Genomic DNA, 25,254 nt, shown 5'->3' on the forward strand with positions numbered 1-25,254 from the left:
CCTTGGTGACACAGAGATGCTGCCAAAAAAAAAAATTTTTAGTTCAACATACAATCAATCATTAATATTATCATTTACCTATATGCAGACCTACTTAACATTTATAAACTTATATTTTTTCATATAAAAGAAGGCTCTATGTAAAATGTGAGAGATAAAAGTTAGATCCAAGGAAGGACTCAAAATTAAGAGATACTAGGTAATCATAAAAAGCTATTTTAATTACATGAACAGAATACATTCATGACCAGAATGTTTCATGGAACAAATTGATGGGGGAAATAGTTGCCATTTTAGAAAACTTTCTAGTTGTAAGACTTAAACAAAATAACTGTCATTAAGTAAGTATATGTAATAGGATAAACATAAAATGTCCTCCCAGTCACCTTCTGCAAAGTAAGGTGAAGGGAAAGCTTATCCTGTGTTTCTCAAACTTGACTGTCATAACAACCTGGGGGTGTCACATGCTAAGTTAAATATTCTCCATGCCTTAGAGATTCTAGATGAAGATGCGCCAAAGAATCTGTATTTTACCAAGTTGCTAAGATGATTTTTGAAAATTATGCAAATTTGGTGAATCCTGAGTTAGTGGTTAAGACTTAAGGATCAAAATTTTAAGTTTTTTCTGCTTTAAAATTCGATAATCATACTAATTTCAAGGTATTTTTCAGAGTATTAAATGAGAGGGCATATGGAATGGACTTATTTGAGAACCTGGCACAAATAAAACAATTAATAAATCATCCTTGCAGGTGTAATACATTGTAAATACATTTTTTGTGTTGGCATCCATGAAAAAAAATAAAGTAATTTAAATTTATTTATCAGATTAAATAACTTCCTTTAAACAATCAGGCAAATTTATTAAATCTTCTGAATTTTAGTTTATCCTCCTCAAAAATAAGGGGTTAAAGTGGGTTTTAAAAATATTGGGATTGAGGGAAATTTGAATTCTTGAAGATAAACCAAGAGAAAAAAAGAGAAAGAAAAAAATAAAGTCATGCCCAGCATTCACAGTAAAATAGTTGTATATATGAAATAAGAAATCTGACAACTTGTCTTTACATTTACTGCTGCTAGCCCTGAAAAATGGCAGAGTGTGGGGTGAATGCATGATCCTCATGTGCAGCATTACCTGCACCTCCAAATGTGCTCCTTCACTTTAGTATTATCTCTTTGTTTTCTTTCCATCTTTTACAATAGTCATTAACTTAAATACTTTGATTTTTAATTACATTCTTTCATTTTCAGCACTATATTTATCAAAACATAGAAAAGGTGTCAGCTCCTAATGAACAAAACAAATATTAAATGAAGGTGAGAAAACTCTAGTTTTTTCACTTAATTTATTAGTTCTGTTTTGTAGAATGTCGCTCATATTTTTTAATACTAATTAGTAAATTATGGCAATATCATAAACCTATTTTTTATGTGTTTGACCTTATCATTAATATTTTGGCTGATTTCTTAATATTTTACCTCTGACCTGAAATTAGTTTAGCATTGATGTGAATAATGGCAGTTGCCAAGTAAGTTTTGCCTAATAGGACTGGGGTTTGGTTTTTAATTTTGTAATTCTTTACATTGAAATTTGCTACCTAATTTTAACAGTATGTCATTTACGATTGATGCAGGCAAGAACTCTGTTATATTAATAAATAGTGCATCAATATTCTAAACCACTCAAAAAAGTTAAAAAAACTATAATTGGTTGCTGAGAGAATTAAAAATAAAATTATATAAAATGCTCAATTAAAGCTAAAGAAGGCAGGATAGAGTGAAAACAAAAAAAAAGAAAAATGGAAAAGAGCCATGAATTGTAAAGATTAGCAAATACGCTATACATTAAGTCAACTATGTCAATAATCACTTTAATTTAAAATGTTCTAAATACGTCATTTAAAAGACAGGCTAACAGAATGCGCAAGGAAACAAGATCCAACTGCATTATCTACAAGAAACTTACCTTAAATATAAAGAAACAGATAGACAACTTGTAAATATATAGAGAAATATATGCCATGTTAACACTAACCAAAAGAAAGCTAAAGTAGCTAAATTATATCAAATAGGTCATTATATATAAAGGAGGTCATTATTATATTTATGCATGGATTGATTCATCAGAAGTCATAATAGTCATTAACATGTTTGCACTTAAAAACAGACGATCTTTATTTGTGAGAGGAAAAGCTGACAGAATTGTTAGGATAACTGGATGAATTAACCATTATATTTGAGCACTCATCTCCCCTCCATCAGAAACAGATAGATCCAGCAGGTAGAAAATGAGTGCATAGTGGAACTAAGCAGCACCTCAATCAACTAAATCTAGTTGGCACATATAGAATACTTTATCCAACAATGGCAGAATCCACAATAGACTACATTCGGGGCCATAAAGTACATCTTAACAAATTTAAAATAATAGAAACATACAAAGTATAATTTTAGACCATAGTGGGATTAAAATAGAAATCAATAATAGAAAGATAGCTGGAAAACTCTAAAATGCTTACAGGTTAATCAACTTTTCAATAACACATGGATCAAAGGAGAAGTCTCAGGAGAAATTTAAAAATATTTTGAATGAAATGAAAATGAGAATACTATAATACATGTCAAAATTCGTGGAATTCAGCAAAAGCAATGTTTAGAGGAAAATTTATAGCACAGAATGTATATATTATAAAATAAATATTGAAATCAACAATCTAATCTTTCACCTTAGGAAACGAGAAAAATAAGAGTAAAGAAAATCCCAAATAAACAGAAGAAAAAATAATAAAGTTAAAGCAGAAATCAATAAAATTAAATACAGGAAATCAACAGAATCAGTGAAAGCAAAGGCTGGCTCTTTGAAAAAAAATCAATAAAATCAAAACACCCTTAGCGAGTTAATTATGTAAAAAAGAGAGAAGACACAAATTATTAATATCAGAAATGAAAGAGAGGCCATCATTATTGATCTCATGGACATTCATAGAGTAGTAAGGGAATATTATGAACAAGCCTGTGCTTACAAATTTGATAACCTAGACAAAATGGACCATCTTCTTGAAAGACATGATCTGCCAAAACTCATACAAGCAGAAACAGAGAACCTGAATAGGTTCTATATCTATTAATGAAATTTAATCAATAATTAATAACCTTCCAAAACAAAAAGCACCAGGCTAGATGTGTTTACTTGTGTATTCTTCCCCAAATTCAAGGAGTAAACAGATTGAATTATAAGTAAAAACTTCCCAAATAAAATCCTAAGTACAGATGCTTAATTGATAAATACAACCAACAGCTTATTGAAGAAATAATACAAATTCTTCACAAAATCTTTGAAAATACAAGAGGAGGGAGCACATAAAAACTCATTCTATGAGGACAATATTACCTTGCTATAAAAACCAGGCAAATATATCACATGAAAAGAAAACTACAGGTCAACATCCCATATCAATGTAAACACACAAATCTTCAAAGTAATACAAGGAATCCAGAAACTTATTTATCCCAGTATTGTAAATTGTATTTATCCAGGAGTGTAATATTGGAAAATAAATTAATTTAATTTTCCATATTAATAGAAAAAATAAACCTTAATATAAGCATAAATTATAGCTGATGAAATCCAACCCCTTTCATGATAAAAATACCCAACAAACTAAAAGTAGAAGAGAAATTCTTCAACTTGATAAAAGGCATCTATGAAAAATCCACATCTAATTCATCCTTATTGGTGAAAGATTGAATACTTTCCCCCTAAGACTGGGAACAAGACAAGGATATGTGCTCTTGCCACTTATATTAAACATTGTAATAGAAGGTCTAGCCAGGTTAGTACGGCAAGAAAAAGAAATAAAACATACTTATTTTGGAAAGTAAAAAATAAAATTACACCAGAGGACATTATCTTTAGATAGAAAATCTTGACACACACACACACACACACACACACACACAAACAAACAAGAAGAAAACATTTAAATTAAAAACGTAGCAAGATAACAGCATATAAGATCGAAGTTTAAATATAAATTGTATTTTGTACACTAGCAATATGCAATCCAAATAAAATTGAGAACTGTTCCATTGACAGCAGCATAAAAATAATAAAATGCTTATGAATAAATTTAATGAAAAAGTGCAAACATGTATGCATTGTTTCCTAGGGCTGCCATATTAAAGTGCCACAAATGAGGTGGCTTAAAATAACCAAAATTTATTGTCTCACAGTTGTGTAAGTTTGAAGTCTGAAATGAAGTTGTCAAGAGAGCCATGCTCTGAAACACATACAAAGATCCTTCCTTACCTCTTCCTAGCTGTCAGTGGTTTCCCAGCAATCTTCAGCATTCCTCGGCTTATAGCTACGTAACTCCATCCTCTGCCGTTCTGCCACCCAGTATTCTTGTGTGCCTCTGTCTTCACATGGCTGTCTTCCTATAGAAACACCAGTCATATTGGACTAGGAAGTGACCCTACCTTTAAATATGTTCACATTCAGAAGTACTAGAGATTAGGACTTCAACCTACTTTTTTGGGGGCAGACATAATCCAAACCATAACAATTTGTATTCTGGGAACCACAAGATACTTTTGAACAAAATTAAAGATGATCTAAATTTTTAAAAATATTTCATGGTGATGGATTTTAATATTGTTAAGATGTTTATACCTCCAAAACTGACCTAAAGAAACAATGCTTTCCTTATCAAAATTTCAGCTTTTTTGCAGAAATTGAGAATCAGATGATAAAATTCATATGCAAGAGACCTAGAATAATTGAAACAATTCCAAAAAGATAGAACAAAGTTGGAGGATTCATACTATATTTCCTGATTTCAAAACTGACTAAAAGGATAGAGTAATCAGATAATATAATATAATCTGATTACTGTAATGTAATATAAAGATACACATGTAAATTAATAGAGTAAACTTGGGAGTTTAGAAATACAGTTTTACACTAAAATTCATTGTTACAACATTTTATCAATGTGGCCAAGACAATTCATTAAGTAATAGTATTTTTATCCAACGGCACAAGGACTTCTGGATATCCACATGCAAAAAGAATTAAGTTGGATGCCTAATTTACACCATATAATAATTAACTTAAAATGCATTATGCACTTAAATGGAAGAGCTAAAATTACAACACTCTTATAGGAAAATGTAAGAATAAATTCTTGTGCCCTAAAGTTAGGCAATTGTTTCTTGGCTATGCCAACAAAATCACAAGGAAAAAATTTAAAAGTAGATAAGTTGGATTTCATTAAAATTAAAAAAGAGTTTTTACCCCAGTGGACACTATTAATAGATCAATTTACAAAATTAGATAAACTATTTGTCAATTACATTTCTAATAAGGGCCTAGTATCCGGAAAACATAAACATTTCTTTTAACTGACAGTAAAAAGACAACCCAAATTTAAATATTTAAGGAATTAAAGAGATATTTCTCCAAAAGAAGAAACACATATGCACCATATGCAAATGAAAGTATGCTTAATATCATTAATCATCATTGAAATTAAAATCAAAACCACATTGAGCTATCACTTTATGTCCACTAGGATGGCCATTGCCAGAAAACAGACAGTAATAAATGCTGGCCCAGATGCAGAGGAATTGGAACACTCTTATATTGCTGGGGCATCTGAAATGGCACAGCTGCCTTACAAAACCTTTGCTAATACCTTAAAATATTTAGCCTAGAGTTCTCATGTGACCCAGTAACTCCACTGCCATGATAAATGAAACCACGTCCCATATTCACCCAAGATAAATGAACACACATTAACAGAAATGCTTTTACAAAAAGGGTCATAGTGGAATTACGCACCATAGTTACAAAGTGGAAATGATCCAAATGACCATTAACTGATGAATGGATGAACAAAATGTGGAATGCTTTTACAAGGGAATAGTCTTTGTCAATAAAAAGAAGGAAATGCAGATACATGCTATAACATGGTGAAACCTCATTGAAAACATGAAAACATTAAGCTAAGTGAAATAAGTAAAAAAGATCACATATTGTATGATTTCATTTATATGTAATGTCCAGAATAAGCTAACCCATAGAAATATAAATAGACTGGTGGTTTCCAGGGATTAGGGAGAGGAATGATTAGGGAATGATATTTTTCTTTGTGTAAGTAAAATATTTTAAAAGTAGACAGTAGTGATGATTTTGCTATCCTGGAATATAATAAACGTCACTGAATTATAGACTTCAAAAGTGAACTTCATGGTTTACAATGAATGAATTATATTTTGATTATAAATATGCATATATATAAATATATATAATTGTGTGTGTGTGTGTGTGTGTGTGTGTGTGTGTGTATAATCCAGGATAGTATCCTGGATAGAATCCTGGATTGTTTAAGCTGCCAAAACTTCCAAATTAGTAACACATGAACTTGTTCAATGACTCCTCTGTCACCTCTTGAAATTAATTCCAGCCATTTATTTATCTACAACACAAACCCCACCACAACACATACACATTGTGAGCTAAACTTCATTTTTCTGATGACTTCTCTCATATTCTAAATCCATATTTCCTTTTTCAAGCAATTTTTGAAACACCAAAACTATTGATTGAGCTCCCATCAGGTGGAGAACAAGATACTTCTCATTACTAGCAGGGACTGTGTCAGGCATCTCAAGCAATCCAGAAAAATTTATGCATCATATTCCTGCCTGTAAGAAGTGGCATTTAAATTCTGGCTTTGATCCTCTTACTTACTATAATATTGATTCTCAATAAAGAAGACAAAGTTACTATCACCCTTATGTGAATATTCCCAAATCTCCAATTTCAGCATTGGGTCTCTGATGAGTTGATGATTATTATTTAATGGACTCCAACTGTGACAACACGACTCATCTTTCCCAAATGGGCTCCCTTCTGGGCAGCTCCCTTCTCAGCAAATGATGTCATCATTTACCCACTTGCCCTTGCCAGAAACCTGGGCATTGTTTGTAAATGTTTCTTCTCACTTACTTATATTCTATATTCAACCAATCACCAAGTTCTATGTACTTTACCTTCTAAAGAGATTTTACTTCTCTCCAATTATCTCCTTACCCACTACTTATTTCCTTAACCATTACTTATCTCCTTATCTGTTACTGCTATCCTTGGCCAAGGTATCATCTTTTCATACTTATATTACTGAACAAACCATAAACTCTTTCCATCTTTGTTCCATATCATTTTTCATACTGTTGCCAAAATGTTCCTTCTCATGAGAGCATTTCTCAGTGGCTTCCATTGTTCAAGGTAAGGTATACAATTTTTAACCTGGTGATCGAATAACCTGCTCCTTGCCTACTGTTCCAGCCTCAGTTCTTATTATTTATTTATTTTTGAGTTGGGGTTTTACTCCGTTCCCCAAGCTAGAGTGCAGTGGTGCAATCATGGCTCACCGCAACCTTGAACTCTTGGGTCCAAGCCATTTTCTGACCTCAGCCTCTAGAGAAACTAAGAATCCAGGTGTGCACCACCATGCCCAGCTAATTTCTTATTGTTATTTATTGTAGAAATGGGGTCTTGCTATGTTGCTCAGGCTAGTCTCAAACTGCTGGGCTCAAGTGTTCCTCTGACCTCGGCCTCTCAAGGTACATCCCACCTTGGCCTCTCAAGGCATAAGCCAGTGAACTAGGCCTTCAATTTTTTTTAAACTTCTCTCACTCATATGGCTGAACCACCCTGCCCTTTCTTAAATTCTTCAAATGGACTGCAATTGTCTCATCATTCCGACTTGCCTGTAATTCAGACTCACTCTTTCCCACACTAACCTCAACTGCTTCAATGGCTCCACCTAGCTAACATCTGCTGAATGTTCGGAACTCACTAAGCTGATACTGCTTCTAGGACTTTTTCCCTGATCACCCCCAAGTTGGTGAGAGAATACTTGGTATTAACCTCCCTTAAGACTTTATAGTATTTATATGTTCCATTTTCTCTACTCCTGTATACATTGCTACCTCTGGGAAAGCAAGAAGCACTCCCATTTTATTATATCTTGCTTTGAAAAAAATCCGGTGATCAGTAAATATTTTTGAATGAAGAAATATGATTTGAAAGGTGTTTACCAGGTTTTCAATGAACTTTAAAAAACATGTTAATGCTCCTGTTTCTTTAAATTGAAGAAGTCCCTCTCATGAGGCTCCATGGTGCTGGAATGCGTGGGGCAGGGAGGAAAACAGATGTCTTCTTATTCCTGTGTGGGCGAGTTTATTAACATCCCTGAATCTCAATTTCCTCATTTGTAAAAGGCATTAGAACACATGAGGACTGTTTGTGGGTAAAAAGAAATGTTGTCTGTAAAGCATGCCAATTGAGGAAGCAGCGCTTGTCTTTCCCATCTTTTCTCAGTACCTCTCCCCTCGCCAGTCAGTCCTGAGAAAAGGTACCTCGAAGTTGGTCCTAACTCATAACCCATTCTTTTTTTCTCTCATTAGAAAACAAGTCATTTGCATTACTTCTAAGCAAGAGTTGGAAAAACAAACACATTAATGTATTTTATAATTTTAAAAAATTGTTTGATAGACTTAATAGGCCCTGTTTTTCTTAAGAAAATATATGTTGCTGTCTTTTTATTGGAAACAATGGATAATGTACCAGGCCAGGTAATTCTATTTGACCCCATTTTTCTATCCTTTCTGTTTTGAAGGGCTTGGAAGCAGTTCCAAACGGAGGGAAAAATGAATCATCACCTTTCCGTACATGCATTTTGGATTGTCAGATTGGATTTGAAAATAGCCTCATATTGTTTCACTCCACAATAGATAAAACATGAATTTCTATCAGCCTCATGACCTTCTTGTTTCCCCGGTACTCCTGCTTTAATCTAAGGATTCTCTGTTCTTGAGCTTGCATAGTTGAGTTAGAGCAAATTAATGAAAGACAATATGTCCTACTATGTTCCACAGATAAAATACCAGGATCATCCATAAAGGTCAAAACTGAGTGAGCCCAGAGGAGATTTTGGACCTAGGATTGGCCTTAGGCACTTTGTCTGAAAGAGAAGAGCCTGAACCTTACTCAAGGCTACAATATCTTCCTCCTCCGATTGCTATGGAAACATTTCTTTTATTTTTTAAAGCAAACATCCATGCCAGACATATGACACAGCAGAAAAGCTGTGGAGAAGGATGAAGTCAGGAGTTTGGAATCATCTTTCAAGATATATAGCCCAGTGGTTAAATTTTCAGGCCCTGGAGTGTGTCCAACTTCTTGGGTTCCAATCTGTTCACAAACCACACAAAGCAGGTTTCTTAATCACTTCATGCAAGCAGTCACATCATTAGTAAAGTAAGAAAGATGACGACATTTCCTTCCTGTGGTGCCGTGTGGTTTACTGTATGTAAAGTCTTTTAGAACATTGTCTGGTGCAAAGCACCATCAGTGTTAGCTGTAATTATCAAGTTTCAGCTTCCAACAATGTCAAGCAAGATAGATGAGTGAATAGGCCCCATGGAGGCAATTGGGGATTGCTGGAACAGCAGGACACTGGGCTGCATTTGTTAGGATCAAGGGCAGGCATGTTTTATTTCAAAATAAACAAGCAAGCCAGCAAATCCTCACTGAGCCTCCAGGTTTAGGTTTATAGAGTGTAACCATGTCATCTACCCTGTGTTTTGAGATTTAACTTATAATTTATTATATCAAACCTAAGTATATTGTTGCAAGAGATAAGACAATGAGTCATATTTCATCATGCACTTCTTTAGTGATTCAGCAAAACACAATTTCGAGGAAATATTTAAAATTGTTATAGTTACTAAGAAATAAATTACGTGGACAGCCTCTCTCTATCATTTCTTTCATTTTTAAGGGAAGAATTGTTTTACTCAGAACGTGGTGTTCTCCTAGCCAGAGAAACAGTCAGTTTGTCATATGCGTTCATCTTTTGTCATATTTGTTAAAGGGCTATGCTGAGTGGAAATGCAGCTGCACAGGTAACTTAAGCTCACAGGTGGAAGCCAGATGCATGAAGACACAATGGGTTAGGGTGATTATACCTTATCGGGAGCAATGCCTTGGCTGAGCCTGTACATTCTTTTTTTTCTTCTTTAGAAGCTTTACACTTTTTTGTTTTTGTTTTTCATCTTTCTAACTTTATTTGAAATGCCACAGTGGAGCAGAAAGTGTGTAGGCTGTAAAATGAAAGAGAACAAGGTCAAAGTCAAATCCAAGATCTGGTACTAACCTGGGAAAATTACATAATCTCCCCAAGCACTGGTGTCAAAATCTGTAAAATGGAGGTGATATGTCATGGTTAAGGACTGCTTTAAGGATTAAATTCATAAGATATATAGTAAGGCCTATAGCACTATGTACACAGAATGAAGTGTCATCGGAAGCTTCTTCCTCCTCTGTCTTTAGAGTCTACAAGACCTGCAACCTGGGACTGTGTCCATCCCTGTTTGAGTTGCTCAACAGGACTTGGTTAGGCCCTTTCATGTCAGCACTTGGATGTCGTTATAGGAATGAACCTATTTTAGGGTTGTTAATGATCCCAGGACCCATGATCATTTCAGTTTAGGGAATAATATGCACACAGTTTTTGAATGATATGTTTTTCAGACAGTGATAGTCTATGTGCACTTTTTAATTTATTGAATATTATTTGCATGTAATTTGATAAAGCATTTACACATGTTGGAAAATATGACTCATACACAGTCAGTGGTTGATGGTAAGTCAAAAACTTTTGTAAATTTCTATGGGTGAAAAATCTAAAGCTCCACCTCAAAATCCCAAGTCTGAAAGAGATCTTTGAGATTTCTAAAGCCACTTTTTAAAATTTGCACACTATCAACTGCAGACTCTGAGAGGTTGGGGGGTTACCACCAGAGGCACTTGTACCACACAGGCTGCAAGCATGATCTATGGAATAGATAAATAATATTTTCAAAACAAATACTATGCTTTTTCAAATGTATATAGATGTTTATATGATTAATAAGAGCAGAAACAGACAGATGAGATTGTTTTTAATGTAGAAATCCCGATCAGTGGTTTCTAAATACACTCATATAGTAAATATTTTCTTCAGGCTAGAAACCACACACCTTATCTAAGTCTCTATTTCCTATAAGGAAGCTGAAACTTAGAAAGGCCAAGTGATTTTTGGAGTGGCACAGCTGAAAGTGGTAGAGCAGAATTTAGAAAACATACCTTCAAACAATGTCCAACTTTCCACAACTATCTTGAATCTTTTAATTAAAGTTTTAACTTTGAGGATTGACATGCAGTTGTGAAGTTATATGCGATGATCCTGAGTACACTTTAAACAATTTCCCTCAATAGTTTACATTTTCAAATGATGGCACAATAAAGCAACGAGGATACTGACATTGATAAAATAAACTGATGTTTTTCAGATCCACAATTTTACTTACATTTGTGTGTGTGTGTGTGTGTGTGTGTGTGTATGTGTGTTTAGTGCCATGCAATTTTATCACAGGTAAAATGTCTTAAGTACATCACCTGCATCAAGATACAAGCAGTCATCGCCACAAGAATTCCTGCTGTTGTGCTTTAATAACAATAACCTCTCTCTCTTACCCTCTCCACCTGACTTCCTTAACCCCTAGTAAGCAATAAATTGTTCTCCATTTTCCAAACTTTGTCATTTCAAGAATGTTGTATAAATTCAATCATACAGTGTGCAGGCATTTGGGATTGCCTTTTTTCACTCAGTAATATTCCTTCAAGATTCATCCAAGTTGTTGCTCATATCAACAGTTCATTCATTTTTTATTTCTGAGTAGTATTCCATAGTACCCATGTGCCAGTTTATTTAGCCATTCTTCCATTGAAGGACATTTGGGTTGTTTCTACTTTTTGGCTTTTATGAATAAAGCTGATATAAACATGCATTTCAATTTTTTATATAAAATAAGTTTTCATTTCACTGAGATAAATGTTCATCATTAAGATTGCCAGATTGCATAGCAGTTGCATGTTTAACTTAGGTCAATTTTGTTGTTGTTTTAACAGATTTATTGAGCTATAATTCACACAGCTTATAACTCACTCGTTTGAAGCATACAATTTAATGGCTTTTAGTATATCTACAGAGGTGTACACCCATCAACATAATCAATATTAGAATATTTTCATTACCCTTAAAAGAAACACTATACCTCTAAACATTACCCTCCCATTTATCCAATTCCTCAAGCCTTGGTATACCACTAACCTACTTTCTGTTCCTATAGATGTGCCTATTGTAAACAATTCATATAAATGGAATCATGCAATATGCGACTTTTGTGATTCACTTCTTTCACTTAGCATAATGTTTCCCAGGTTCATCCATTTCGTAGTGTGTATCACCTAGATTTTCAAATTGTTGAATAGGATTTCACTATATGACTATATCATATTTTACTTATACATTTATCAGTGAATGGACAATTGGATTAACTATACCTTTTGGGTATCATGAATAATGCTTTTCTTAATATTTGTGTATAATTTTTTGTGTGGACATAGTGTTGTCATTTCTCTTAAGTATATACCTAGAAGTAAAATTGCTGGACCATATGGTAACTCTATCTTTAACTACTTGAAGAACTACCAGCCCGTTTTTCAAAGCAGGTGCATTATTTCATTTTACATTCCTACCTGCAGTAGATGAGTGTTCCAGTTTCTCACCATGTTTGCCAACACTTGCTATTTTCTGTCTTGATACAGATATCATAGTGGGTGTGAAGTGGTAACTTACAGTAAAGGTGGTTTTGATTGGCATTTTCCTGATGGCTAATGATGGGAAGCATCTTTGTATGTGCTTTTTTGGTCATTTGTATAGATTCTTTGGAGACATATCTATTCAGATCATTTGACCATTTTAAAAAATTGGGTCGTTTGTCTGCTTATCACCAAGTAGTAATTAACTATTCTTTATATATTCTAGATACAAGTGCCTTATCAGATAAAGCACCATATCAGATTTGCATTTTTTTCTCATTCTATGGCTTGTCTTTCACTCCCTTGATGGTGTGTTTTGAAGAGCAAAAGTTTTTAACTTTTGATGAAGTCCAGCTTTTTTGTCATTTGTTGCTTATGCTTCTTGAGTCACATCTAAGCTTTATTCCAAATCACAAACACTTGTACCTATGTTTTCTTCTAGTATTTTTATTACATTACCTCTTACATTTAGGTCTTAACTAATTCTGAGGTTTTTTAGATGGTGTGATTTATGGGGATTTCTTCCCTTTTTTTTTCTTATCCAGAGGCTTAACTTGGAACTTCTTGCACTATGTTGAATCAAAGCGGTGACAGCAGACATCTCTCCCTGCCTCTGATCTTAGGGTTTCTCACTATTAGGCCTTTCACTTGTTAAAACACCTACAGCTTTTTAAAATGCTATTTCTCTAGTTGAGGTATTTTTCCATTATTTTCGGCTTGCCTGGAGTCTACCCTACCCCTATGGATATGTTTTGAGATTTGTTTAATGCTTTTTTTATGTCAGTTTATCTGATCATATTTTTCTTCTGTAGCCTGTTGATATGGTATATTACATTGATCGATTTTTGCATGTCAAACCAGCAATCCCTGGAATAAATCCCACTTAGTCAGTGTAAATATCTCTTTATATACTGTTGGATTCAGTTGGCTAATATTTTGTTGAGACTTTTAATGTTTAAGCTCAAGAGGAAGATTTGAATATAGTTTATTTGTTTTTGTTCTGTCTTTGGTGTTGCTACCTGGGTACTGGCCTTAAAAATGAGTTGGAAAATGATCTCTTCTTTAATTTTATGAAAGGGGCTGTGTAAAATTATTGTTAAAAGCCTTATTCAAATGTTGTGTAGAATTCAAAAGCAAAACCATTTAAGCCTAAAGACTTTACTGGGGGAAAGATTTTAAATTATGACTTCAATCTATTTAATGATTATAGAATAATTTAGATTAATTATCCTTTTTGATTGAGTTTTTACAGTTTGTAGTTTTCTGTCGAACTTCTGAACATAAAGTTGTTTATAGTGTTCCACAATTACCTTTTTAATGGTTTCAGGATTTGTATTAATACAGCCTCTTTTATTCCTAATATTGGTCATTCGTGTCTTCTAATTTTTTTGTCATTTGTGCTAACAGTTTAATTTTATTGATTCTTTTAGAAAACCAGTTTCTTTCATTTTTAATTGTTTTCCTGCTTTTACTTTTACTTATTTCTTCTCCTCTTCTGTTTTATTTCTTCTACTTGATTTGGTTTCCCTCCCCACTACTTTTTAGGTAGGAATTTAGATTATTGATTTGAGATTGTTCTGTTTCTAATGTAAACATTTAGTGTTATACATTTCTGTCTTATTACTGTTTAGCTGCATCCCACATGTTTAATATTCTATATCTTCATATTAATTGAGTTTTATATATTTTTAGATTTCCTTTATCATCTTGCATTATTTTGCAGTATATGGCTTAATTTTTAAGGTTTCAGTTATTTTCTTATTGTCTTGTTATTGATATCTAGCTTGATGCACTTATTGTCAGAGAATTTCAATTCTTTCAAATTTGTTGAGATTTATTTCACGGCTGTGGATGTGGTCATTCTTGGTGAATGCTTCTTGTCTATTTTTTTAAAATATGTATTCTGCTACTAATGGGTAAAATATGGTTGGTTGATTGTGTTCTTCACATCTTCCATATCCTTGCTGATTTTCTCTTTATCAATTATATCAGATATTGAAAGTAAGATGATGGAATTTTTGTGTTTTTTTGTTTTTGAGACAGGGTCTCGTTCTGTTACCCAGACTGGAGTACAGTGGTGCTATCTCGCCTCATTGCAACCTGCACTTCCTGGGTTCAAGCGATTCTCCTGCCTCAGCCTCCTGAGTAGCTGGGAGTATAGGTGCATGTCACCACTCCTGGCTAATTTTTGTATTTTTTTAAATAGAGACAAGGTTTCGCCATGTTGGCCAGGCTGATCTCTAACTCCTGACCTCAGGTGATATGCCTGCCTCGGCCTCCCAAAGTGCTGGGATTACAAGCATGAGCCATGGCGCCAGACCAGATGTTGGAATTTCTAACTCCAATTATGGATTTGTCTATTTTTTTTTCAACTCTTATCAGTTTTTGCTTCTTTAGGGTTCTGTTGTTTGGTGAATACACATTTAAGATTGTTATGTCTTTCTGCTAAATTGATGCTTTCATCATTACACACTGTTGCTTTCTGTTTCTAGCAATTTTCTTTGTTTTGAAACTATTTTTTCTATCACTAATGCTGCCAATTCTGCCATATTTTATTAATGTTCACAAGCTAAATATTTTTTATTTTTTTTACTCACAACCTACTTGTGTCTTTGAATAGAAATAAGTTTCTTACAGTCAGCAAAATCTGATTTATCTCAGTAGAATTTACTTTTTCTTGGTCAGCATTGAATTTTGAGAACTTTGAAAGATAATTTGCCCACAAACAATGGTTTAATGTATACATTTACATATTGTAAGACTGAGTGAATTTTCCAAATATTTTAAGCATTTCATATATTTTGTATTTTATTTCCATACATAATATGTGCATATTTACCCAAAATTTTATATCCTTGCATTGTGAATCTAGTCAAATTAAGGAAAGTGATGATTAAATACATACAGAGACTTGATTGACCACAGACATATTAAAGAGCTAATGACTGCAGACTTAGATTTAATCCTCCTATCAAACTAGTTAAATTTACAAGATGTTTAAGATATATTCAGACCCATAATGACACAAGTGCATATTTTTGTTTCTTTAGGGAAAGGATTGTCACATTGCCTTGCAAGAGGCATTAAGGTGAAACACCACTAATACTGTGAATTTATTCAAGTCTGGAGTTCTTGCATCAGATACGTAATCTCAGATATCCAATTTTATTAGCAAAATAAAAGTGGATACACTTTTTAGAAGTTGGAACACAATAACAAAACTTCAGAGATGAATTCATAGAAACAGGAATTGAAAAGACTGAGAATTTCCAGAGTATCAAGAATTCTCACGTTTGCATCACCATGCATTTGTATATGTCACAATGGCAATTTACTGTCATGTATCTTCTATCAAAAGACACATGCTTATGAGGACAATTATGAAGAGAATAAAACACAAAGAAATGAGATGACTCAAGTGTTAAATGTCATCAGGCCATGAAATGAGAACAGCATTGCCAGTAGGATCAGGATACTTTGGCTATCTTGTCACTGACCACTGAAATCAAAGCATTGGCTTATCCCCCTGAGGAAGCACTGACAGTTCATTGTCATCTCTTCTTTTGTCCCTACATTTATGACCAAACCACTTCTGATCAATGCATTCTTTGTAAATAGAAATAGTTTCCATCAGGTCATACTATTGTTGTATCACCCTTTTCTCCTGGAAACCATTGCTTTTTTTTTTTAAATATAAAATGACTTAATAGCTTTTTTTTAAAAATATAAAATGACTTAATAGCTTAACACTAACTAAAGCAATTTAACTTTCACAAAGTAAAGGTAAACTTAACTGTAGATTCAAAATGCTGAAAATATATGCCAAAGTTGTTATAGATGTCAGTGATGCCCACATTTACATATCTCAAGCTCTAATCTCCTGCAGAACGTGTGTTATAGGATGAGGATTCACAACACAAACTCTAGCCAGACTACTTGAGTTCATTTTCCATCTATAGCAACTTACTAATTGCATAACTCTGGGAAATTTAGTAACCTTGTCATGACTCTGTCTTCTCATATGTAAAATGGTGACAATCGTGGTACCAGCTAACTCTGGGGCTATTATAAGATTAAATATGGAAATACACATAAAGTAACCTACACAGTGCTTGGCACCAATTAAGAACTCAATACATGTTAGCTATTTGTAGAAATTGTCAGCATCATCACGTGTAAGATGACTAAAACAGAAGCTTTGATTCCCATATTCATACTTAAAGATAGTTTTGCCTCATCTTTGGAAATGGCATCAGCTCAGTTTCTCAGGACCATGAATTTGACATTGATGTATCTTTCTATACTTCACTCCTCCTTTCCAGCAGAAAGCTCTTCATTCTCTCTCTCCAGATCATAACTAAACCCATCTCCTTCTGCTTACCTTGATGGCTCCCACCATCACTCCTACATAGATTTGTACATTCATCTCCTAATGAACTTTCCCGTTTGCACTTTTTACCTTTGCACTTCCACCACACCACAATCCTTCATCTGAAAGTTAGAAAAAGTCATCTTTTTAGACCCAAATATTTGCTGTCACCCTCAATGCTGATCACTGAAAACTTCCACTGTGGCCTGTGTGGTCATCCACAATCTGGCCCTGCCTACACCTCCAACCTCATTTCTCCTGAATATGGGTTCCTGTGGCTCTTGAACACATCCAGCTCTTTCCTATCTCAGGGCCACTGCTTGCTCTGTTTTTTCTGCCTACGGGCTCTGACCGGACGTTTACCTCCTGGCTCCTTCTTATAATTCTGGTTGCAGCTCCCCTGCTAGCTTCTCAAGGAGCTGACTCTTTACAACCATGTCTGAAATACCCTGCAACCCTTGATGCTCTTGTCCACATCACCATGTTTTATTGTCTTCAGAGCAGTTGTAAATTTCATACAGTATCTTACATTTATTATTTACTTCCCTCTCACTGGCATGTTAAAATATGGATTCCCTTGTAATGTTAAGTGCTTAGGACCGTGATTGGCATACAGTGATTCCTCAGTAAATGTAGAAGAAAAAATTTAAGAAATATAAAGCCATAAAGTGAGTAATTAAATATGATTGAGAGAATTCCATAAGATTTAGGTTTTACATCACCAGCTTAAAATAGTTATTCAAATATCATGAGTCAATAAAATAATCAATTTACTTATTGGCAGGTGATTTTCAAATGAATGAATTGGATTATGTTGCATAGTTAATAAAATGTGATACATTGAATTTACTGTAATTAGGAAATGTCTTTCACTAATGCCTGGAAAAAGATAACGTAAAGCATCATGTTTTTTATCTTATTTTTGTTTAGCTGTTTGCAGAATAAAAACAATTTTAATTTTACATAACAAATATCCTGAGGCAAGCAAATGAACAAATAAAAAGATGCATAAATAAATAGAATAAATAAAATCGCATTTTAATTTCAAATCCAATTTAGTGATACTGAGTTGCTAGGCATTTCTTTGGTTATAACCTATCAAAAACATTAAATTCTAATTACATACTACCCTTAAGAAAAATATTTGACTCTATTATATTTTGCTTTTATTGCATCTTATAGAATACTATAAAATTCTTATTAAACAACTTGTTTCAGGAAATATTATAGACGTTTTCAGGATCATTTCAGAACATTTAACCACTGATCCAACAGAATGTTATGCATTTTGTTATAAGTACTCTGGTAGTTTAATAAAAATATAGGAGCTTAAGTTCTTAAATATGCTGTTTAACCAATATGGAGGGTATTTGCCAAGGAGGGAGTACATTTGATGAAGTATATACATACAACATAAATCCACTACCTTCCTAATTTACTCAAGGTGTAGATATCTTCCTAGGATGTTTTGTCTAGAAGACTAAGTCTATGGCACCTCCTTTCCCGTGATAGTTTCTCAGCTTAAAATAAACCCCACATCAGCTGGGCACTGTGGCTCACGCCTGTAATCCCACCACTTTGGGAGGCCGAGGCAGGCGGATCACAAGGTCAGGAGTTCGAGACCAGCCTGGCCAACATGGTGAAACCCCGTCTCTACTAAAAATACAAAAATTAGCTGGCCATGGTGGCACACGCCTTTAATCCCAGCTACTCAGGAGGCTGAGGCAGGAGAATCGCTTGAACCTGGGAGGCGGAGGTTGCGGTGAGCTCAGATTGTGCCATTGTACTCCAGCCTGGGTAACAAAAGCAAAAGCTCCATCTCAAAAAAAAAAAATTAAGTAAACCCCACATCATAATAGCTTTTTCATTTTCTTGGCTCTTCCTCCCAACTTTACTGCGGTATACTTGACAAATAAAAATTATATACATTTAAGATGTACTGTGTGGTATTTTGATATATATATATATAAACAATTACCATAGTCAAGCTAATTAACATACTCATCATCTCACATAGTTTTTAAAATTTGCTTTATTTTTGTAGTGAGAACTGGAGTAGCAACTTTCTGGAAATACTGTCAATAGTAATACTTAGGATAACAACACGATGTCAAGTTTAAAAATAATTAATTAAATTCCTTTCCTTTTCTCCCCCCTCCATTTTTGTGCGTTTGTATATCTATGCTATAGCAATGAAAATGTTTCCAGGCAGAAATGAACGCAGACATTGAAGTAAAAACATGTGAGCTCATAATTCCTTTTCCATGTTCCATGTTGTAAATCTGCAGTGAAGAATAAATAGAAACTATTTTCACTTCAGTGTTTAAAATAATACAGGATTTAATGGGAATATTCTAATTGCATGATCTTCATTTATCTTCACAGACAATTCCCTCTGCACGTTGACTTTGTACCGTTATATCTGTCGAACTAGCTAGTCACCAGTGGTTTCTAACACCTACTAAATGATTTATTGAAAAATCCTCAAATGGAAATAAAAAACAGTAAAGAAAATATTGTAGTCTTATGTGGAAAACTCCACTGGAAAAAAGAAGGACGATGAATTTGATTATAGCAATAAATGCACACCATGAATATCATTAACCATCACTTATTCTTTCGTCAGTTCTTTTCTTTTCTTTTTTTTTGAAAGACATATAAAGCCATTCTGCTGTCACCAACAGTCATCTTACATTTGTCTTAAATGTGCCTTCTCTTATGAAAGACATCAAAGGTCTATGTGATTTTGCATTTAGTATTGCTGCTGTCTCTCTTTCATTTGTTTGTTACTTTTCTGTGCAAGCAATTCCAATGAACTTTTACAAACTTGAAAACATTCTTATTTCCTACATATGTGGCTTTTTTTTTACCAGTTTATTTCAAAATCCAAACTAATACCATTACTTTAAAAATTGAACTATTAATTTACACACCATTTAACTTTCAATTGCATTCTGAACCTAATTTAACTTTAGATTTACCTTTAAGCCATTAAGAAGATAAGATTAGTCGAAATACAATTGTAGGCCATATGGTTGTTTCAGGTCTCTCCATTTCTGATGTGGGATTTTATTTTGAATGGGCTTGTTTACTTAGCTCAGTGTGAAATTAATCGGTTTCTCAAACTACCCTTCTAGCTCTTACATTTTGTTAAACCTTTTTTAGTCTTCCCTTTGACAATCTGTAAGTTGCTTTCTTTTGAATTCTTTTCAAAATATAGTTAGGTAGTTATGACTCATGTATTATTTTTGTTAGGTACAAACCCACAGTTGACCAACTTTCTCTTTTTGTTGGAGTTTGAGGATCCACACCCTGATTTTGGTTGCCTTGGCTGATGTCTTCAGCATGAGCTCTTGTAGATGCTGCTTCCAGATTCATGGATTGCTTAGGGTCACCCACAGATGACCTGGAATGATGCAGTGCACACAGACCCCTGTGTCTGCAGTACTCGGGCACACAGCCTGCTGGGGCCTGTTGCAGGGTCTCCATCAACCGTTGCTGCATGAATGATTGCAGATATCTTTCATGCAAATTCAGATTTTTTTCTTCCCTAAAGATTCCTCTACGTGTATTTCATCATCTTTTCACGTCCAGGCACACCCAAACATTCCAGTAACAACAAAAATCAGACAAAATACCTAGGAAAGCTTTCAAAATAAATCTGAGGGTCTCCTATGAAGAAAAGTACAAATCTTTGTTGAAGGACATAATAGATGTAAAGGAACAGAACGCAATCAGTTTTGGTCCTTGATCAATGATCTACATGAGAATATTTCCATCTTCTCACATTGCAGGTTTGATGCAATCCTAATTACAACCTCTGTGGGATTAGCGGGCCGGACTGAGAGAGGCTCTGGGAATGTTACTGTCACATTCATCAGGCATTATCCTCAGGCAGATTACCCGTGCGTGGTATCCTTGTTAATTGTAGCTTTTCTTGCCACCGGACTTGTACTTTCTTCTCTTCCTCAGTGAGGAGTCAAACCACAGTAGTCACTTTCCTGAGTGAAAAATCATTTCCAAGGTGTTTGACACAAAGAGATCCTGAGGACATTTGCTGTCGTCTTTGTTTGAGTACTCCAGACTCAGGGAGCTGGGCTTGCGCTGCGGGAGGTAAAGCTGGGGCCACACCCCCACCCCTGCCAGCCAGGACAGTTCCTAGACCCTTCCCCTGAGCTAGGTTTTCCAGTCGCATGGAGCACTTTCTCACATATTCCACGCTACTGATTTATCTCGCTTATTTTCTACCTCTTCTACACAAATGGATGCCCAATTGTGGTAGGATTCTTTTTCTTTCTTTCTTTCTTTTTTTTCTGTTGATTCACTACAGTATCTGTAGTGCCTGAAACAATCCATGATATACTCTGTGGCTGCTGTTGAATGTTGAGTAGATGGCTTTGATTTTGCTTTTGCTCAGCTGATGTTAACAGTCCTTTTCCCCTGCTGCTGCTGTCTTGTCAGTCAGCTCCCTGTGCGTCTTCCTAATCTATTCACAGTTACAATTACTTAAAACATTATTTTTAAATTGCAGGTTTTATAAAGCTATCATGTCTGATCTCTTCATTGCAGTACATTGTTCTTGACAAAATTGAAAACAAGCAAAAAATCATATCTTATTTATGATTTACAATTTATCTGTTTTCTCCAGACAGTTGATAATTGTCACTACCACTTATAAACTTGTATCCAGTACCTTCCTTTCAAAGCTAGATGCTAGGGTGACAGAAAAGGTTTATAAAGGAAAATGTATATAAATTAAGTATCCAAGAACAGAAAAAGGGAAATGAAGTTTGGGCTACTTATAGGAGTGAAAATAAACTCTGTGATGTGCCAGCACCAGCACAGGCTCTTGTAGTTTCCTCCCAACTTTGGGCTCAGTGGTATCATGTTGGTGGCCAGTTTAGGAGTATTTATATCACAAAATCCACAAGTGCTGCAAATCAAGGCTTTTCTATTCTAGAATGCTGGTTGATAAATAATAGCCTCAACATTTACCAGAACACTATAAAACAATTCAGTGATCATAAAGTTATTATCCACAGAATATTTACTGGCATGGAAAAATGTTCACAATAAAAATTGGTGTTTAAAATTGTTTATTGCAAAAAATTGTGTAATGAAATCATCTTGAAAATACTTGCATTACTAAGATATAAATGGTTCTCTCTGGGCAGTGAGATTGGGAGGAATTTTTTTTTTTTTTTTTTTTTTTTTTTTTTTTTTTTTTTGCTTTCTCTCCAGCAGCTTGACAATACAGCTTCACAAGAAGATACCTTTTCCTTTTAAAACCCCCACTGTGTTCTCCTTCCTCCTGACTTCTCCCCAGAGTACCCATGTTGAATCCCTGGTGTGGATCCCATGCTTCATTCCTGCCCTGCTACTTGCTCTGCTCTCAGCTTGCTGCACAATCCCCCACCCTTCCTGCTGGGTTCACTAAGGGCTCTCTAGGCAAAGCTTGCCCAAGCTGCTCTCCTCCTGCAGGTCTGTGCTAAGGCCATCGGACTCCCCTGGGGCTGGTTCTGCATCTGCAGCCTGTGGGTGCTTCTGTGAGCGCAAGTCAGGCTGTGCAGCAGGTGGTCTGTTCTTGTCAGTTTCTTGTCTTCTGACCGTTTGTGGGGCTGTATTGGCAGTAAAACACCCACGACACAGAGAACATTCAATGTATGTTTGGTAAAGTAGTAAAGAATGGATGCATGTGATACTAAAAATATAATCATTACAATAGTTAATAAGGTATTTTAATGCAAATCAATCTTTTTATAATATTTTGAGAAGAAGAACATGTTCACTGGGGAATATTAAAAACAGATCTTAGCTCAGACGTGTTATTCAAATATTGAGGAAAAAATAAACATTATGTGAGTTCTTTCCGTCTTTTTGAAAATCGAGATTAAAAAAATTGTTCATTATTGTGGCTCCCATAATTTAAAAAAATAGCTTTTCTTTTGTTATTTTAACTTTTAAAAAACGTTTTGGAAAATGTAGTGAAAACGTATCATCCACTAAAAACTAAAAGCATTTTGTTTATTCTTGTGAACAGATGCAATCATAAATTCAATCTGATTTTTTTTCCTCTTAGAAATAAAACCATTAAATCAGATGACATAAATACCCATGCACCTGTGAATTACTGGTCAGGCCAAATGACTAGTTTCAGCATCCAAATTCCATAAAAGCAAGCTGAATAGGGCTTCTGTGTTAGAGATTTGAAATTGAAATGAAAAATCAAAGCAAAAACAAAAACAAAAAGAAATGATTTCAATTCCATTCTGCAAAGCAAAATTGAGTTTCCTGGTCAGGTTCTCTATTGCTGCATAACACAGTACCCACGAAAGTGAGTGGTTTAAAACAGCCATCATTTTATTTTATCCAATCAATGTGTGGGTTAAGAACTCAGGCAAGGCATTCTCAGTCAGGTTTCTACCCCATGGGTTGCCATTCTTGGTCAAAATGTGTCCAGTTAGTATTCTCACTTGCAAGGTGCCCTGTTGGGGACGGCTGGAGGCTGAGCCCTTCTCGTCTCCTTCTTCATGGAGGGTCGGACTTGCCACAGTCATTTAGCTGCATGGTTGTTATTCTTACCTGGAAAGTTAGGGCTCCAAAGGAGAGTGTTCCAGGAGGCAGAAAGTGGAAACTATCCGTGTTCTAAGGCCTGGACCCATAAGCAGGTACAATCTATTTACTCTGCACTCTGTTGGCCAAGGTGGTCACAGAGATTGGTCAGATTCAAGTGGAGATCCCAACTCCTAAGGGAAGAATACAAAAGAATCTGTGGACCTCATTAGTCCATCACATATACATGAACTTATTTTTCCTGTTTTTGAGACAGAGTCTTGCTCTGTCACCCAGGTCGGAGTTCAGTGGCATGATCATAGCTCACTGCTGCCTTGAAAGCCTAGGCTCAAGCTATTCTCTTGCTTCAACCTCCTAAAGTAGCTAAGACTAAGTCTTTTTAATTTTGTTCAGAGATGGGGTCTTGTTATTTTTCCCAGACTCACAAACTTGTTCTAAGATATAACAAGATTAAATATATATATGCATATATATGTGTGTGTGTGTATTATATACGTATACATATACATATACATATTTATTTATTTTTGAGTGGAATTTTGCTTTTTTTGCCCAGGCTGGAGTGCAATGGCGCAATCTTGGCTCACTGAAACCTCCACTTCCCAGGTTCAAGAGATTCTCCTGCCTCGGCCTCACGAGTAGCTGGGATTATAGGCTCACACCACCATGCCCAGCTAATTTTGTATTTTTAGTAGAGACAGGGTTTCACCATGTTGGCCAGGCTGATCTCAAATTCCTGACCTCAGATGATCCGCCTGCCTCGGCCTCCCAAAGTGCTGGGGTTACAGGCATGAGCCACCACTCCCAGCTTAAAATATGTATATTTTGATAGAGAACATACTAGTACTAAAAAAAAAAAAACCTAAGATTAATTATGCAACAATAAAAAGTTTCAGTTGATACATTTTTGCCATCCAATAGAGATAAGCATCAGGAATAAAATATAAAAATGTTAAGAGCTGATTCATATTTTGTTCTTTTCCATTAAAGAATACTATTTTCTTGCTATTATATTGTTCCTAGAAATTTAAATTATCAAAATACAGCAAAATGAACCCCCCAGTGTGATTGGTACCAACTCATTCTTGAATGCATTTTTGAAAGTCAAATATCAGAAAATTAAATAGCAGATTACAATTTAGTATTATGGCTAAGACCTTGAGCTTTTAATTCAGACAGACATGGATCTATTTGCCTTGGACAAGTAATATGTTTCTTGGACAAGTAATATATGAAGTATGATGGTTCACTGTGATAGCTAGAGGAAAAATAGTAACTGCTATAGAGAGTTGTTTATTATTAAATGAGAATACATATGAATGACTTAACATAGTGCTGAGACATATAGGTATCCAATAAGTAATATTATTTTTATGAGTGATACAGAGTGGTTCTATTCCATTTTACACGTTATAAAATTGAATATGAGTTATTCTTTAGGAGGAAGACACTAAATAAACATTAAAAAATTCTAAATTATGGCTTATACAGTTAATACTTGCCTGAGCTCAGGCGTTTTAACCAGAAACATAATAATAGAAATCCAAGCATCTTCCCTTTCATGAGTTAACTGCCTACATTAGTTTTGTAGAGCTGC

The 25,254-nt window shown here is 34.7% G+C and overlaps 1 protein-coding gene across 20 annotated transcripts in view, besides 1 other annotated feature; it reads left to right on the forward strand.

Moving 5' to 3' along the window:
• The window catches only part of SNTG1 (syntrophin gamma 1), an 886,897-nt gene that overhangs the window by 137,515 nt on the left and 724,128 nt on the right, over nucleotides 1-25,254 (forward strand). The gene's annotated exons all lie outside the window — the stretch shown is intronic.
• Nucleotides 9,230-9,754: an enhancer, noted in NCBI's record as "NANOG hESC enhancer chr8:50969100-50969624 (GRCh37/hg19 assembly coordinates)". NCBI's record gives its function as "activates a minimal SCP1, AML or CMV promoter by ChIP-STARR-seq in naive H9 embryonic stem cells {active_cell/tissue: H9 hESC(naive)}" and the evidence as "EXISTENCE:reporter gene assay evidence [ECO:0000049][PMID:30033119]".

Source organism: Homo sapiens, chromosome 8 (genome assembly GCF_000001405.40).
Source record: "Homo sapiens chromosome 8, GRCh38.p14 Primary Assembly".
In the NCBI taxonomy this organism is placed as follows: domain Eukaryota; kingdom Metazoa; phylum Chordata; class Mammalia; order Primates; family Hominidae; genus Homo; species Homo sapiens.